Source organism: Homo sapiens, chromosome 3, assembly GCF_000001405.40.
Source record: "Homo sapiens chromosome 3, GRCh38.p14 Primary Assembly".
In the NCBI taxonomy this organism is placed as follows: domain Eukaryota; kingdom Metazoa; phylum Chordata; class Mammalia; order Primates; family Hominidae; genus Homo; species Homo sapiens.
Window position 1 is genome coordinate 14702183 of NC_000003.12, and position 16149 is coordinate 14718331.

General features: G+C 42.7%; 1 protein-coding gene across 11 annotated transcripts in view; it reads left to right on the plus strand.

Moving 5' to 3' along the window:
- Positions 1-16149, plus strand: part of C3orf20 (chromosome 3 open reading frame 20) — a 97896-nt gene that overhangs the window by 27042 nt on the left and 54705 nt on the right. For 10 of the 11 annotated variants that reach the window (XM_006713341.3, NM_032137.5, NM_001184958.2 and 7 more), the window contains exons 6-9: positions 948-1080; positions 2155-2436; positions 11825-11977; positions 13107-13227. In XM_006713341.3, the coding sequence (XP_006713404.1) occupies positions 948-1080; positions 2155-2436; positions 11825-11977; positions 13107-13227 (689 nt within the window). The remainder of the gene's footprint in view (positions 1-947; positions 1081-2154; positions 2437-11824; positions 11978-13106; positions 13228-16149) is intronic. The other variant, XM_011534157.3, reaches the window with a different exon arrangement.

Sequence of the window (16149 nt, forward strand, 5' to 3'; positions counted from 1 at the left end):
TCATGGCAGCAAGAGAAAATGAGGAAGAAGCAAAAGCAGAAATGCCTGATGAACCCATCAGATCTCATGAAACTTATTCACTATCACGAGAATAGCACGGGAAAGACCGGCCCCATGATTCAATTACCTCCCCCTGGGTCCCTCCCACAACAAATGGGAATTCTGGGAGGTGCAATTCAAGTTAAGATTTGGGTAGGGACACAGCCAAACCATATCATTCTGCCCCTGGCTCCTCCAAATCTCATGTCCTCACATATCTTTTTTTTTTTTTTTTTTGAGTTGGAGTCTCACTCTGTCACCCAGGCTGGAGTGCAGTGGTGTGATTTCAGTTCACTGCAACCTCCACCTCCCGGGTTCAGGAGATTCTACTGCCTCAGCCTCCTGAGTAGCTGGAACTACAGGTGCACACCAGCACGCCCAGTTAATTTTTGTATTTTTTGTAGAGACGGGGTTTCACCATGTTGGCCAGGCTTGTCTCGAACTCCTGACCTCAGGTGATCTGCTTGCCTTGGCCTCCCAAAGTGCTAGGATTACAGGCACGAGCCACCATGCCTGACCATGTCCTCACATTTCAAAAGCAATCATGCGTTCCCAACAGTCCCCCAAAGTCTTAACTCATTTCACCATTAACCCAACAGTCCAAAGTCTCATCTGAGACAAGGCAAGTTCCTTCCACCTGTGAGCCTGTAAAATCAAAAGCAAGCTAGTTACTTCCTAGATACAGTGGGGGTACAGGTATTGAGTAAATACTGCCATTCCAAATGGGAAAAAATGGCCAAAACAAAGGGGTTACAGGGCCCATGCAAGTCTAAAATCCAGCGGGACAAATTTTAAAGCTCCAAAATGATCTCCTTTGACTCCAGGTCTCACATCCAGGTGACACTGATGCAAAAGGTGGGTTCCCATGGTCTTGGGCATCTCTCTAACTTCTTGCCCTCCAACTACAGGCAAATCTAGAACTACAGAAGATGTCAGCATGCCGCCCCTGCATCGAGGAGTGGGAACCCCTGCCAACAGCCTGGAGTTCAGCGACCCCTGCCCTGAGGCCCGGGAGAAGCTGCAGGAGTTGTGTCGCCACATGTGAGCACCTCAGTGCTTGGGTCGGGGGAGTCAAGGGTTCTCAGAAAGCCTGGCCCCCAGCTGGGAGTCCCTGTGTATATGTGAGTGGACAGTCACAGAAGTGTGTGAGACATGCCACCTGGGAGCGTGGGTTATGTGGTACTCCCCACGACAGCCACAGGTGCAGCATCCCTCACAGGCACACACACACCCGTGTCCTTCCCTGCTCACCACCCTCCCTACAATATCACTGCAACCATGCAAGGAAGACAGGATTGATGCCCATTTTGTGGATGGGGAAACTGAGGCAGCCTAAGCAGGTATGTGAGTAAGAAATTGCCTGAGCTCACACAGCTCCAGTGGCTTGCCTCCTGCCCCTGCCCAGCAATGCTTTCTGCCTCTGCAGCACCTTGCCAGGGATGCCCCTTTGCATGGCTCCTTACATTTAGGGCTTTTGTGCACTGTTTGTTTCTTAACTTAATTTGCTAGATGTTCTACCAGACAGACAAAAACCTCTCAAAACAAACCAAAAAGACCCTTGACATGGGTGATTAGTGGTTTTTATCATTCTGTGGGGCCATCCCACAAGCCCTAGCAATTTACTCAACATTTCTCTGAGGGCCCAGGCCACTGGGTGTAAAGGACTTAAGCACCTGTTCACATCTAATAGCTTGGTCATATACGTCTCCGGGGGTTGCTGGGCCAGAACATGGGGAGAGGGCAGCCACTGTTTGCCTCCTCACTGTGACACTCTGGAAGGAAGCTCTCTTCCCCACAACCTCAGGACTGGGGTGAGCAAGGTCTTCAAACCCCCAGGACCCACCCCCCAACTTCCACACACACTCCTACTCCATAGGTCCTCACCCTCAGGCTCAGGTGGAAATCAGGCAAGGGCTATTCTTAGACGGGCATTGGGAACTTCCCAGTTCTTCCCAAAAATTACCTTTATGGACGAGGGAGCATGGGTTGGGGATGTGTACTTTGGGGACAGGGGAATGGGATAGGGGTCTTGGGCACTAAGGAGGGGCTGTAGAGAGCATCCCTGGTGCTTGAGAACCAAAAGGCTAGACAATATATTGCTCTCCTTCTCTGCAGAGAAGCTGAAAGGGCCACATGGAAAGGGAGGAATATCTCCTACCCCATGATCTTACGAAACTACAAGGCAAAGATGCCCTCTCATCTAATGTTGGCCCGCAAAGGAGACTCTCAGACCCCGGGTTTACATTACCCTCCCACTGCAGGTGCTCAGACTCTCAGCCCCACCTCTCACCCATCTTCTGCCAACCATCATTTCAGTCAGCATTGTCAAGAGGGGAAGGCACCCAAGAAGGCCTTCAAGTTTCATTACACCTTCTATGATGGCTCCTCCTTCGTTTAGTATCCTTTTATTTGGTACCACCCTATCTCCCCAGCTACTCAACCCCAGAGAAGTCCAGGACTTGATACAGCCTAAATGTTTCCTTGGGCCTTTTAGTTATCAGAGAAGCCTGGTGATGGGTCTCCTGGGTATTAAGAGCTTGTCTAGATCAGACTCAGGAGGTCAGAGGAGGAGGTAATAAGTTTCAAGCCTCACGTTCAGTTCAGATCAACAGGAACATACCACACCCCAGCTACCTGTGAGAAGCTTGTCAGTGCAGGCTGGGAATGCAGACAAAGTCCCTGCCTTTGAGAACCTCTCAGTTGAGACGTGGTTAAAGACACAAAACAAATCATGTCTAGTGGAGAGGAGAGAATTAGGAGGCCTTAAACAATTGGGAACCTTCATCCTTCTCTCCCTGGCTCAGTGGTTAAGCTCTGTGGTCCTTGGATACTTCACCTATCAACATCCTTGGAGCCTGAGACCTCACCCCAAATGCGCTATCTCCTGGGCCCTGACTGCTCTGCAGCTGAGATCTGACTGGGCTCATGAGCATAGTGCTAGTTGTGTCCCAACCTTGGATGTGGGAGCAACAAAAGGAGACACATTTTCTCTTTGAGAATCTGATGAAAGCTATAGACCTTCTCCCTAGAAATAAGCACTTATCTATACATGCCTGTAAGGCGTTACCTGTGATTGCAGGGCATTCACCAACCTCCAAAGCCTGTCTTTGGATCTGAGTTTGAAAAGACAAATCTCCTTGGAGGGTGAGCCCTGAGGGCTGTGCATACCTCAGAGTGATTTGAGTCTGATTATTTTCTTCACTCACAGATGTGTATCGAGTATCTGTCACGTGCAATGAAGTCAGATAATGAAGTTAATAGACCATTTGTACTTCAGAGGGAGCAACTGTAATTGCTTCTTTTAAAGTGAAGAGGAGTTTGAATTTGGGTGGTAAAAGCAAAAAAGAGGGCTCCCTTTACAGAATGTCTGGGTAGGAAGTCACCTTGTACCCTATGTTCTTTGTGGGGGTCCGGTTGCCCAAACCCAACATATTCTAGAGCTGGACCAGATCACAGATGTCTCATTCATTTGACCACAAGGACTCTGAGGCCAGAGAGGGCAAAGCACTTATTCCAGGTTACACAGTCTAGAGTTACATAAAATGTCATGGATGTGAAACACAGTCATTTGTTTCTGCCCCTTCACTGTAGAAATCGGAAAACTGAGACCCAAAGGCATGGTGTGACTGACTGTATGCCACAAAAGGAATTCTGTGGCCAAGCTAGGCCTTGGTTCATGGCCTCCTTACCTCAATTTAGGGTCCTTTGTTGGGTACCATTTTTATACCTTTAAGGATTATTTCCTCCAGTACAGAGCAGGGTAGAGGGAGATGGAAGTGGATCTCATTTTAATAATAAAATCACTGGGCACTCAGGATCCCCTGCCCCTTTCTTGGAGGAGAGGACGGGTCTCTGGGCTGTCTCAACCACTTTCACAAAGGCTAAGCCCCCCAACCAGGCTCTGCTGGCAGCAGCCCCCTTGCTTCCTTTGGCCTCCTCTTGACTGAACTGGGAATTCAGATTTAAGCACTCTGTCAAAGAAGTGTTATTGTTTCTCAGACCGTATATGAATCCATTCATCACACTCTGCTCGGCCCTGCTTGCAGCGCATCCCTCCAGTATTTAACACAGCTGACTCCTTCGAGAGCCGCTGCTGCTTGCAATGGGTTGTGTTGTGCCCCACCCCTGCTTCTTTCTGACTCTTTGCTGCATTTAATAGGATGATCTCCCTGAGCTCCTCATGAAGCTGTGTCTATGAATTAGTCTTCTATCAGGGGCATCAGAAAGGAGGGTGGGCTTGTGTATGATTAGAGCACAGCACCCTAGCCTGCAGGAATCTCTGTTCTCTCACTTGTCCCAGAATTCTGAGCACCCTCCCACCCCCCACCCCCAAATGGTCTGAGAGATCACCCAAACTTTTGATCCATTGCTACTGGCACTCTTGACTCACACCCCAGCAATGATCACATCCTCGCAATTAATGCTCTTCTCTTTGGGAGTCCTAAAAGACCAGGGCTCTAGGCTCAGTTCTTTTTGGTGACCCTGCACAAATCACTTGATCTCTGTGCCTCACTTCCCTTGATTATAAGATGAGGAAGTTGAACTCAGTAATCTTAAAGGAGAAATTCTGTTACTGTGTTCAAATGGTCAGAACACATGTGCAGCTATTTGATCCCTCTCAAGTACAGAAAATGTTTGGAAAACTCTTCTTTCACCTAATGGCTTCCATAGAACACTGGGCTCAGCAGTCGATTCTGTTTTCATAGATATTGCTGGTCAAGCTCTCAGGCAAAAATTATATGTCTGGGCCGGGCGTGGTGGCTCGTGCCTGTAATCCCAGCAGTTTGGGAGTCCAAGGCAGGCAGATCACGAGGTCAGGAGATCGAGTCCATCCTGGCTAACATGGTGAAACCCCGTCTCTACTAAAAATACAAAAAATTAGCCGGGTGTGGTGGCGGGCGCCTGTAGTCCCAGCTACTCAGGAGGCTGAGGCAGGAGAATGGCATGAACCCAGGAGGTGGAGCTTGCAGTGAGCCGAGATCGAGCCACTGCACTCCATCTTGGGCAACAGAGCAAGACTCCGTCTCAAAAAAAAAAAAAAAAAAAGATACGTCTGCACTGGGAATATCATAAAGCTGTAAGCTATAATTGATTAGCACTTGGCAGCTTCAGACCCCAGACCTGTCTCAATGTTCATTCATTCATTCTAGTGGGTGTGAGTGGTATCTCACTGTGGTTTTAACTTATGTTTACCTAATGACGAATGGCGTAGAGCATCTTTTCTTGTGTGTGTGTGTGTGTGTGTGTGTGTGTGTGTGTGTGTGTGTGTGTTTTGGTGTATCTTCTTTGGAGAAATGTGTATTGAAGTCCTTGTTCATGTTTAGATTGAGTTGTCTTTCTTTAAAACAAGTTGTAAGGGTTCTTTACATATTGTGCATAGATAGTAGATGCTTATCAGTATATGATTTGCAAGTATTTTTTCCTATACTGTCATATGCCTTTTCACTCTCTCAGTAGCATCATTTAATGCACAAAAACTTTTAAATTTTGATGAAGTCCAATTTTTTCCACCTTTCTTTCGCTGCTTATGCATTTGGCTTTATGTCTAAAAAACCATCGCCAAATCCAAGGTTATAACATTTACCCCTGTGTTTTCCTCTTTTTTTTTTTTTTTTGAGACAGAGTTTCGCTCTTGTTGCCCAGGCTGGAGTACAATGACGTGATCTCAGCTCACCACAACCTCTGCCTCCTGGGTTCAAGCGATTCTTCTGCCTTAGCCTCCCGAGTAGCTGGGATTACAGGTATGCACCACCACGCTGACTAATTTTGTATTTTTAGTAGAGATGGGGTTTCTCCATGTTGGTCAGGCTGGTCTTGAACTCACTCCTGACCTTAGGTGATCCGCCCACCTTGGCCTCCCAAAGTGCTGGGATTATAGGCATGAGCCACCGTGCCCGGCCCCCTGTGTTTTCTTCTAAGAGGTTTATACTTATAGGTCTTGCGGTCTTTGAAGCATTTTGAGTTAATTTTTGTATGTGGTATAAGATAAGGTTCCAATTTCTTTCCTTTGCATGTGGATAGCTAATTGTCCCAGTACCATTTATTTAAGAGGCATTCTTTCCCCATTGAATGGTCATGGCACCCTTGTCAAAAATCAATTGACTGTAGAACTATAGATGTATGGGTTTATTTTTGGACTGTCAATTCTAAGCCATTAACACGTATGTCTGTCTTTATGACTGTACCACACTGTTTTGGTTATTGTAGTTTTGTAGCAAGTTTTGAAATAAGGTAGTGTGAGTCCTCCCACTTTTTTTTTTTTCAAGACTATTTTGGTTGCTTGGAATCTCTTACAATTTAGTGTAAATTTTCAAGTCAGGTTTTCCATTTCCACAAAAAAAAGGCAATAAGATTTTGATAGGCATTGCATTGATTCTGTAGATCACTTTGGGGAGTAATACCATTAACAGTTTGTTGTTGTTGTTGTTGTTGTTGTTTTTGAGACAGAGTCTCACTCTGTCACCCAGGCCAGAGTGCAGTGGTGCCATCTCAGCTCACTGCAACCTCTGCCTCCTGGGTTCAAGCAATTCTCCTGCCTCAGCCTCCCAGATAGCTGGGACTACAGGTGTGCGCCACCATACCTGGCTAATTTTTGTGTTTTTAGTAGAGATAGGGTTTGGCCATGTTGGCCAGGCTGGTCTTGAACTCCCGACCTTGAGTGATCCGCCCACTTCAGCCTCCCAAAGTGCTGGGATTACAGGCATGAGCCACCACACCCGGCCAACAATATTAATTCATCCAACCCATGAGCACTGGCAACAAGCAATACAAAATGGTGTATAAACAAGAACAAAAAAGCAATGAACAAAAGGAAATTATGCCATTTGCAACAGCATCAAAAAGATTAAAATACTTAGGAATAAATAACAAAGAGGTACAGAACTTGTACACTGAAAACTACAAAACATTGCCAAATTAAATTAAAGAAGACCTAAATAAATGGAAAGACATCTTGTGTTCATGGGGACAACTCTTTTGTGTGTGTTGATCTTGTATCTGTAACTTTTCTAAATTTATTTGTTTGCTGTAGATTTTTTTGTGTGGACTCTTTAGAATTTTCTATATATAAAATCATGTCATCTGCCAACAGAGGTAATTTTACTTCTTCCTTTCCAATTTTGAGGCTTTTTATTATTTTGTTGTTGTTGCTATTTGCTGTGGCCAGAACTTTCAATACAATTTTGAATAGAAGTGGTGAAAGCAGGCCTCCTTGTCTTGTTCTTTATATTAGAGGAAAAGTTTTCATTCTTTCACCATTTATTATGATGTTAGTTGTGAGTTTTTTCATATATGGCTCTTAATATGTTGTGGGAGTTCCCTTCTATTCCGAATTTGTTGAGTGTTTTTTAATCATGAAAGGGTATTGAATTTTGTCAAATGCTTTTTCTTTATCAGTTAAGGTGATCATGATTCCCCCCAACCCCCGCCATTCTATTACTATGGTACATTACATTGATTTTTGTGTGTTGAACCATACTTGCATTCCTGGGATAAACCACACCTGGTCATGGTGTCTAATCCTTTTGATAGGCTGCTGCTGAATTTGGTTTGCTGGCATTTTGTTAAGGTATTTTATGTTTATAGTCATAAGGGATATGGGAAGTTTTCTTTTTATGTATTTGTCTGGCTTTGGTATCAAGATAACCCTGGCCTCATAGAATGAGTTAGGAAGTGTTCAGGTCTGCTCTTCTATTTTTTTGGAAGAGCTTGAGGAGGATTGGTATTAATTCTTTAAATGTCTGGTAGAATTCACCAGTGAAGCCATCTGGTCCTAGGCTTTTCTTTGTTGGGTGATTTTTCATTAATGATTTAATCTCCTTACTTGCTATATACTTCTATTTAGGTTTTTTATTTCTTTTTGAGTCACTTCTGGTAGTTAATATGTTTCTAGGAATTTGTCCATCTACGTTATCTGACTTTATGGTGTACAGCTATTCATATTATTGTATCATTGTCTTAGGATTTTTTTTTTTATTTCTGTAAGGTCCCATTTTCATTTCTGATTTTAGGAATTTGAGTCTTTCTTTTTTTTAATCAGTCTACTAGAAGTTTGTGCTTTCTTGATTTATCAAAGATGCAACTTTTGGTTTTGTTGGTTCTATTTTTCTATTCTCAATTCTGTTTTTCTCCACTCTGATTCTTTATTGCTTTCTTCCATCTGCTAGCTTTGCTTTAGTTTGCCCTTCTTTTTCTAGTTCCTTAAGGTAGAAAATTGGGTTATTGATTTGAGATCTTTCTTTTCATTTAATGTTGGTATTTACAGCTATAAATTTCTTTCTGAGTGTTGCTTTGCCTTTCTTCCATAAGTTTTGACATGTTGTGTTTTGTTTTCATTCATTTCAAAGTATTTTATAATTTCCCTTGTGATTTCTTTATCCACCTGTTGTTTGTGTGTTGTTAATTTTCATGTATTTGTGAATTTTCCCTATTTTCTTTTGTTAGTGATTTCTAGTTTCATTCCATTGTGACCAAAGGAGATACTTTCTATGGTTTAATCTTTTAAAATTTATTAAGACCTGTTTTGTGGCCTAACATATTGTCTGTACTGGAGAATGATCCATGTGAATGTGAGAAGAATGTGTGTTCTGCTGTTGTTGGGTGGGATTCTGTATGTTTCTGTTAGTTCTAGTTGGTTTGCAGTGTTGTTCAAGTCCTCTATTTCTTTCTTTCTTTTTCTTTTTTTTTTTTTTGAGGTGGAATCTCACTGTGTCACCCAGACTGGGGTGCAGTGGCGCAATCTTGGCTGGCTGCAACCTCTGCCTCCCGAGTTCAAGTGATTCTCCTGCCTCAGCCTCCTGAGTAGCTGGGATTACAGGTGTGCACCACCATGCCTGGCTAAACTTTTTTGTATTTTTAGTGGAGATGGGGTTTCACCATGTTGGCCAGGCTGGTCTCAAAACTCCTGAACTCAGGTGATCCATCCGCCTTGGCCTCCCAAAGTGCTGGGATTGCAGGCGTGAGCTACTGCAAGCGGCCTAAGTCCTCTATTTCTTTATTGATCTTCTGTCTAGTTGTTCTATCCATTATTGAACATGAGGTAGTGAAGTCTCCAACTATTTTTGTAGAACTATTTCTTCCTTTAATTCTGTCAGTTTTTAAATTTATATATATTGAGGCTCTGTTATTAGGTGTGTATATCTCTATAATTGTTACATATTCTTAAGGCATTCACCCTTTTCTCAATATGTAATGTCCTTCTTTGTCACTTGTAAAAATGTTTAACTTAACATCTATTTTGCATGGTTTTAGTATATTCACCCCTACTGTCTTTTGGTTACAATTTGCATAGAATATCTTTTTCTATCATTTCACTTTCAACCAAGTTGTGTCTTTGGATCTAAAGTGAGTCTCTTAGACACGGCATATGGTTGAATTGTTTTGGTTTTTAAAAATTTATCCTGCCAGCTTTTTTTTTTTTTTTTTTTTTTTTTTGAGACTGAGTCTCGCTCTATTGCCCAGGCTGGAGTGCAGTGGTGCAATCTTGGCTCGTTGCAACCTCCACCTCCTGGGCTCAAGCAATTCTCATGCCTCAGCTCTGGCCTTTTTGATTAGAGAGTTTAATCTATTTCTGTTTAAATTGCTGATACAGAAGGACTTAATTCTTTAGTTTTTCTATTTGTTTTCTATATGTCGTATACCATCTTTGTTTCTCAGTTCCTTCATTACTTCCACTTTTTGTGTCTGACTTTTTGTAGCATGCCATTTTGATTTACTTCTCATTTCCTTTTCTCCATATTTTTAAGTTATTTCCCTAGGGTTGTCTTGGTATAATGGGTTAAATGGTGTCTCTCAAAATTTGTAACCACATGGAACCTCAGAATATTACCACATTTGGAAATAGGGGCTCTGAAGATGTAATTTTTAAGATGCAGTCATATTCTTGGGGTGGGCCCTACTGCAATGACTGGTGTCCTTATAAGAAGAGAAAACAGACACACACACGCACACACACGCGCGCGCGCACACACACACACACACACACACACACACACACAGAAGAAAGCTATGTGGTGACTGAGGCAGAGATTGAAATGATGCATGTACAATCCAAAGAATACCAAAGATTTCTGGCAACCACCAGAAACTACAAGGGGCAAGGAAGGATTCTTCCCCAGAGCCTTCCAAAGCATAACCCTGTTGACACCTTGATCTTGGACGTTCAGCCTCTGGAACTGTAAGATTATAAATTTATGTTGCTTTTAGCCATCCAGTTTATCGTACTTTGTTATGATAGCCCTAGGAAACTAATTTACCTGTGTATTACAGTTAACACACTAGTTTGAATTAATAACTTAGTCACAATAATATATAAAACTCTGCTCCTATATAGCTGTATCCCTCCCCCTTTATGTTGTTATCAGAGAATAATGTTTTATAGATACATTGTGTGCCCATTAACATAGGTTTACAATTACTGTTTTATGCATTTATCTTTCAAATCATATAGGAAAAAAAGAAAAATTATATGCTGAAAATACAATACTGGATTTTATATTTACTTATATAGTTAACTTTACCAGTGTTCTTTTTTCTTTGTATGAATTTGAGTCACTGTCTAGTGTCCTTTCATTTCAGCCTGAAGGATTCCCTTCAGCATTTTTTTGCAGGGCAGGTCTACTAGTGATTAACTTCCTCAATATTTGTTTATCTGGGAATATTTTAATTTCTTCATTTTTGAAGAATAATTTTGCTTGATATAGAATTGTTGGTCAAAGTTTTATTTTTTTCCTTCGAGGTCTTTAGATATTTCATATTGCTGCCTTCTTAACCCCATGGTTTCTGATGAGAAATCAGCCATTAATCTTATTGAAGTTCTCTTATATAAGATTAATCTCTTTTTTCTTGCTGCTTTCAAGATTCCCTCTTTGTATCTGTCTTTTGACAGTTGAATTATAATGTGTCTCAATGAGAATATCTTTGAATTTATCCTACTTGGAGTTTGCTAAGCTTCTTGAACATGTATATTATTGTCTTTCATCAAATTTGGGGAGTTTTCAGCCATTATTTCTTTAGATATTCCTTCTACCCTAATTTCTCTTGTCTCTCCTTCTGGGACTCCTATTATTCATATGTTGGTATGCTTGATGGCCTCCCACAGGTCCCTGAGAATCTTCATTTTTCTTCATTTCCTTTTCTTTCTGCTTTCATTCTGAAATGCTTCTGTGTCTGGAGTACTGCTTGTGAAATTCCTGCACACAGGACAGTAGCTGCCCACACCATGTCCTCCTTAGTCAGGACCAGGGCTTCTTGGGGCCTCTTTACTAGAAAATGAACAAGGCGACATTACCTGTACTCCTTGATTGGTCAGAAGTGGGAGCAGCCTGATAGCATTAGAAATATTGCTGGCCTCAGAGATCAAATCCTGGCTCTAGCCACTTCCTTGTGATGTGACATGGGGCAGATAATTTTCTGCACTTTGGATTCCTCATCTAGGGTGACCAACTCATCCTGGTTTGCCTGGGACTTTTTAGGTTTTATACTGAAAGTTCCACGTCTCAGGAAACCCATTAGACCCAGGGGGACCCTACTCATCTGTGAGAGGAAGATAATACTACCTACCACAAGGTGGTTGTGAGAAAATAGAAGATACAGAAAAGCAGCTAGGTCATCGTTGGGTTCCATAATCATATAATTGTTACTTATGCAAAATGCAAGGAGGGTGTTTGAAGATGGAGAATGATGCACCAAATAGCTAACACTTTGACATGTGGACTTGCTTCAATGGGACAACTGAGAGCAGAACCAGGGGAGTTTTCTGTTAGTTCTACCTGAACATTTCTGCCAGCTATCCCTCTGGAAACGTCGCTGTATGTCAGATCCCCACATGCTGCAGAGGGAGAACCATCACCTGCCTCTTTAATGACATACCTGGATTCTCCTTGCTGGCCCTATTCAATACTGAAGGCCAGGGCTGTGTTCACTACAACCTAAAAACCAGGTAAGTGGACTGGGAGAGTACTAGTCACACGGAAGTACCTCTGAGGGTGATGGAGGGAGGACTGAGGTGGTGACTACGAGTCCCTGGTTAAAGAAGAAGCCAGGCGGTGTCCAGAGATCTAGTAAGGCAGTGAGGCAGGGCTGAGGCTGTTTCTGCAGGGACATAGGAACTTTAAGGCTCAGCCCTTCCTTGCTGTATCTATGTCACAGCCAATAAGAAGGACACCTTCCCAAGTCCTACTCCACTTGGTACCCCACAGCACTAAGATCTTGATTGTTAGTTATATTAATGGAAGAATTATTTAGTGGAAAAAATATGTTTTATACCAGGAGTAGGTGAAGGAGAGGCATGAACACACTACTTCTATGGCATCTTTTAAGAAAAGTGCATATTCTTGCCATCCAAAGGTTGATATTGTCTGGCTTTTCTTTTTTGTTTTGTTTTTGTTTTTGTTTTGAGACTGGGTCTTGCTCTCACTCTGTCACTCAGGTTGAAGTGCAGTGGCATGATTATAGCTCACTGCAGCCTCGAACTCCTGGGCTCAAGTGATCCTTTCACCTCAGCCTCCTGGGTTAGCTGGGACTACAGACATGTGCCACAATGCCCAGATAATTTTTTAAATTTTTTTGTAGAGACAGGGTCTCACTGTGTTGACCAGGATGATCTCAAACTCCTGGCCTCAAACAATCCTCCTGCCTCAGCCCCTCAAAGTGCTGGGATTACAGGCATAAGCCACCATGTCTGGATTTGCCTGGCTTTGCCTGGCTTTTCATAAGGAACTGTTCTTGGAAGAAATGACTTACTCTTATGTTATAGGTATTCCAGTTCCCATCTTGGTGCCTATTATACACTCAGGCTACTAGGCAACAGAGCACAAATCCCATTTCTTCCCCTTCTGGGTTTGGCCTGAGACTTCATCATCTCTCTCAGAATAGGCTCCTCCGGTAGCATCAGCAGGTGTTAAGGGGCCTCAGACCATAGCAAGTGGGGAAAGTAAGGTTGACTGCAGGACTCCACCACTCCTCCAGCCTGGGACTGAGTCTTACAGACCTGTCTGCCCATAACCTGCGGTGATGAGAGCTTCCTTCAGGGGCCCGGTGGCAGCTACTCACTTCTGTATCTCTCCTAGTTGCCCATATGTCTTAATCTTGGATGAGGAAGGTGGGACCACCAATGACCAGCAGGGCTATGTAGTCCACAAGTGGAGCTGGACTTCCAGGACAGAGACCCTGCTTTCCCTGGAATACAAGGTAGGGATGGGCAGCACAGGTTGGGTGGCAGTGAGCACCACTGTCACAGGGAGGGTCTGGGCATCCTGCCATGCACTGCCTAGCATTAAAAGCCCAGGGCTACCCGTAAGACAGGAAGCCTGCCCTGAAGGAGCTCATAATCTCATTCAGAGGTTCCCAAGTTGGTGGATGGTGGTCCAGGTTGGCTGAAGGGAACTTTTCACCAGCCTAAACTATTGGCTGCTTTACAGACATTTCTTGGTAATATCCTTCCTGTGTAATTTTTATTATTAATATTATTCTGTTTTTACTGTTAAAATGTGTTTTATGAAGTCACAGTTATAGTAGTTGATAGCTTTATTTTTAATGCCTATGTGTGGCAATAATAAAAATTAGCAATTCTATATTGGTCTCCTCCGTTTTTGTTTTTATAACTTTATTATCTATAAAATAAAACAATCTAGAAGTCAAAAGTGACTGATAGATAGAAACTCTTTTTTCATTCATTTGGCTGTTCAGATAATTATTTACCAAAGATTTATTAAATAACAAATAATAAAGAGGGCTGAATTATTAATAATAAATTAATAAACTTATTAATAAAGCAACTAACTGTGCTTGTCACTTATCTGTGGCAGAGTTCCTCATCATTGACACTACTGACATTTTGGGATGGATACTTCTTTGGTATAACTGTGCATTGTAAGATGTTTAGCATCCCACTAGATTCCAGTAGTATCCCCTACTCCAGTTGTGACAACCAAAAATATCTTCAGGTATCACCAAATGTAGCCTCTGGGGGGCAAAATTGCCCCCAGTTGAGAATCACCAATCAGAGATTGGAAGGAGAAACAAAGCCCATCAAGGAACTCAAAAGTCTAAGGGACTAATAAGAACACAGGGTAGACACAGATTCAAGAACTGTGAGAGAGGGGCAAGTGTTGGGATTCAGAGAAAGATCACAGAACATAGCATCCACTCAAGCTGGCCTGAGATGAAGAGCCCCACAGTGAGGGTTGTGGACACAAGCACTTGGAATGCATGGGAGGGCTCCAGCACCCTACCCTTAGTCTCCTGTTTCTTGTCCTCTTGGTTCATCCTCTACACTGGCCACTGACTCTCCTCCTTATGCTCTGATTCCTCAGACCACACCTCTGCTTAGGAATATTCACTCCCTTGAACATGTCTCACCTTTCCTACTCCCTTGGCCTGAAATGCACCCCCTCCTCTCTTTGCCAGTGCAAATGTCCTCCCAAATTCCTTCAAAGCCCTGCCCAGACTCCCCTCCTTTGTGGCATCCCATCCCACACCCATTTCTATCTTCCCACAGTGCACACAGTTTGGATTAGTCATTTGGTAATTAATGTCAGGAAGAGGTTCTCATCTCTGGCTGCGTATCAGAGTCACCTCTGGGACTTTTTATAAAATAAAGATCCCAGGCACAGCCCCAGAGCAACCCTGACTCAGTTGGTATGTTAGGAGTTTTGGATTTCTGTGGTTTTCACAAACATTTCTGAGGCTTGGCCAGGTCTGAGAGCCCCAGTCTAGGGGTGTGTTGTGTTGTTTTCTTAATGTTTACCTTTTCATAGTTGTATGAAAAGTGTATAATCCAAGATTAGAAATCAGTTGAAGGCAGGCATCATAAGTTGTGTGTTAGTGTGTCCAAGCGGAGAACTGGGATAAGAACCTGAGGAGCTAAGTACTAGTGCCAACTTTGCCAGACTTTGGCTGTGCAACTTTGCGAAAACCTTTCAGCTTCTCTGAGTCTCAGCTGTCTCATCTATACAAAGTGGGTCACCAGAACTGCCCTCCGGCCTCATGGTACTTTCATGAGAAGAAATGACATAGCGGAGGGAAAAGTGCTTTGACATCAGTAAAGTGTTTTAGCAATGTATTTTAGTTGACTGTTATATATTTCCTGGAGCTGCATGCAGAAGAGCACAACAGAGGCATGTGAAGTCAGGAGTGGCCTGGAAAACAAGGTGGCCCTGGGGTTGTAGCATGGGGGTGAGTGTGTGTGATTCACATAGAGAGGAGGAGGAGGCAAAAATCTTCTGGGTAGTGGGAGCCGAGTCTGCAAAGGTTGAAGCTGGGACTAAATGTGGCATTTTTAAGAGGTCACAAGTGCTTCTTGTAAAAGACAGGTGGAGCAAGAGGTATGTATGGTGTCAGGTGGAGGTGGGAGGCACTGGATGTCAGGCTGGGGAGTTTGCATGCTGTCTTGGAGGCTGCAGGGGCCAATTTGTTTTTGCCCAGATGTTTACTATTTCCAGTGTTCTTCATTACTCTCTGAAGATCCAAGTTTCCCTCTGGTACCATTTCTCTTCAGCCTGAAGAACTTCTTTTGGCTTTCTTGAAGTGCATATCTTCTGGCAATGTATTCTTCTGGCAATGTTTTTTTTCCATGATTAAAAAAAAATCTCTTTATTAAAGGATATTTTTGCTGGATATGATTCTGGGATGATTTTTATTTTCTTTCAGCATTTTAAAGATGTTGTTCTGTGTCTGTCTTCTATAGTTTATAAGAAGTCTGTAGTTATTCAAGTCACTGTTTATTTTCTTTACCTGCTTGCAAGATTTTCTCTTTTCTTTGGTTTTCTAAGTTTAACTGATACATCTAGGTGTGGTTGTCTTCATATTTATTCCATTTACTGAGTTTCTTGAGTCTGTAAATTCATTTAAATTTGTTTCACCAAATTTGGGGAATCTTCTAAATCTTCTTTGGAAAATAAAAACCTGCTCCAATCTTTCCCCTTTTCTTCTGAGACTCCAATTATGTCTATTTTAGACCTTTTGATATTGTCCCAAGGGTTCCTAAAGCTCTCTTATGTTGTTGTTATTCACATTATTTTTCTCTTTACTTTTGAGATTGGATGATTTCTCTTGATCTGTCTTCAAGTTCAGTGACTTTATTCTGTCATCTCCATTCTACTATTATGATAA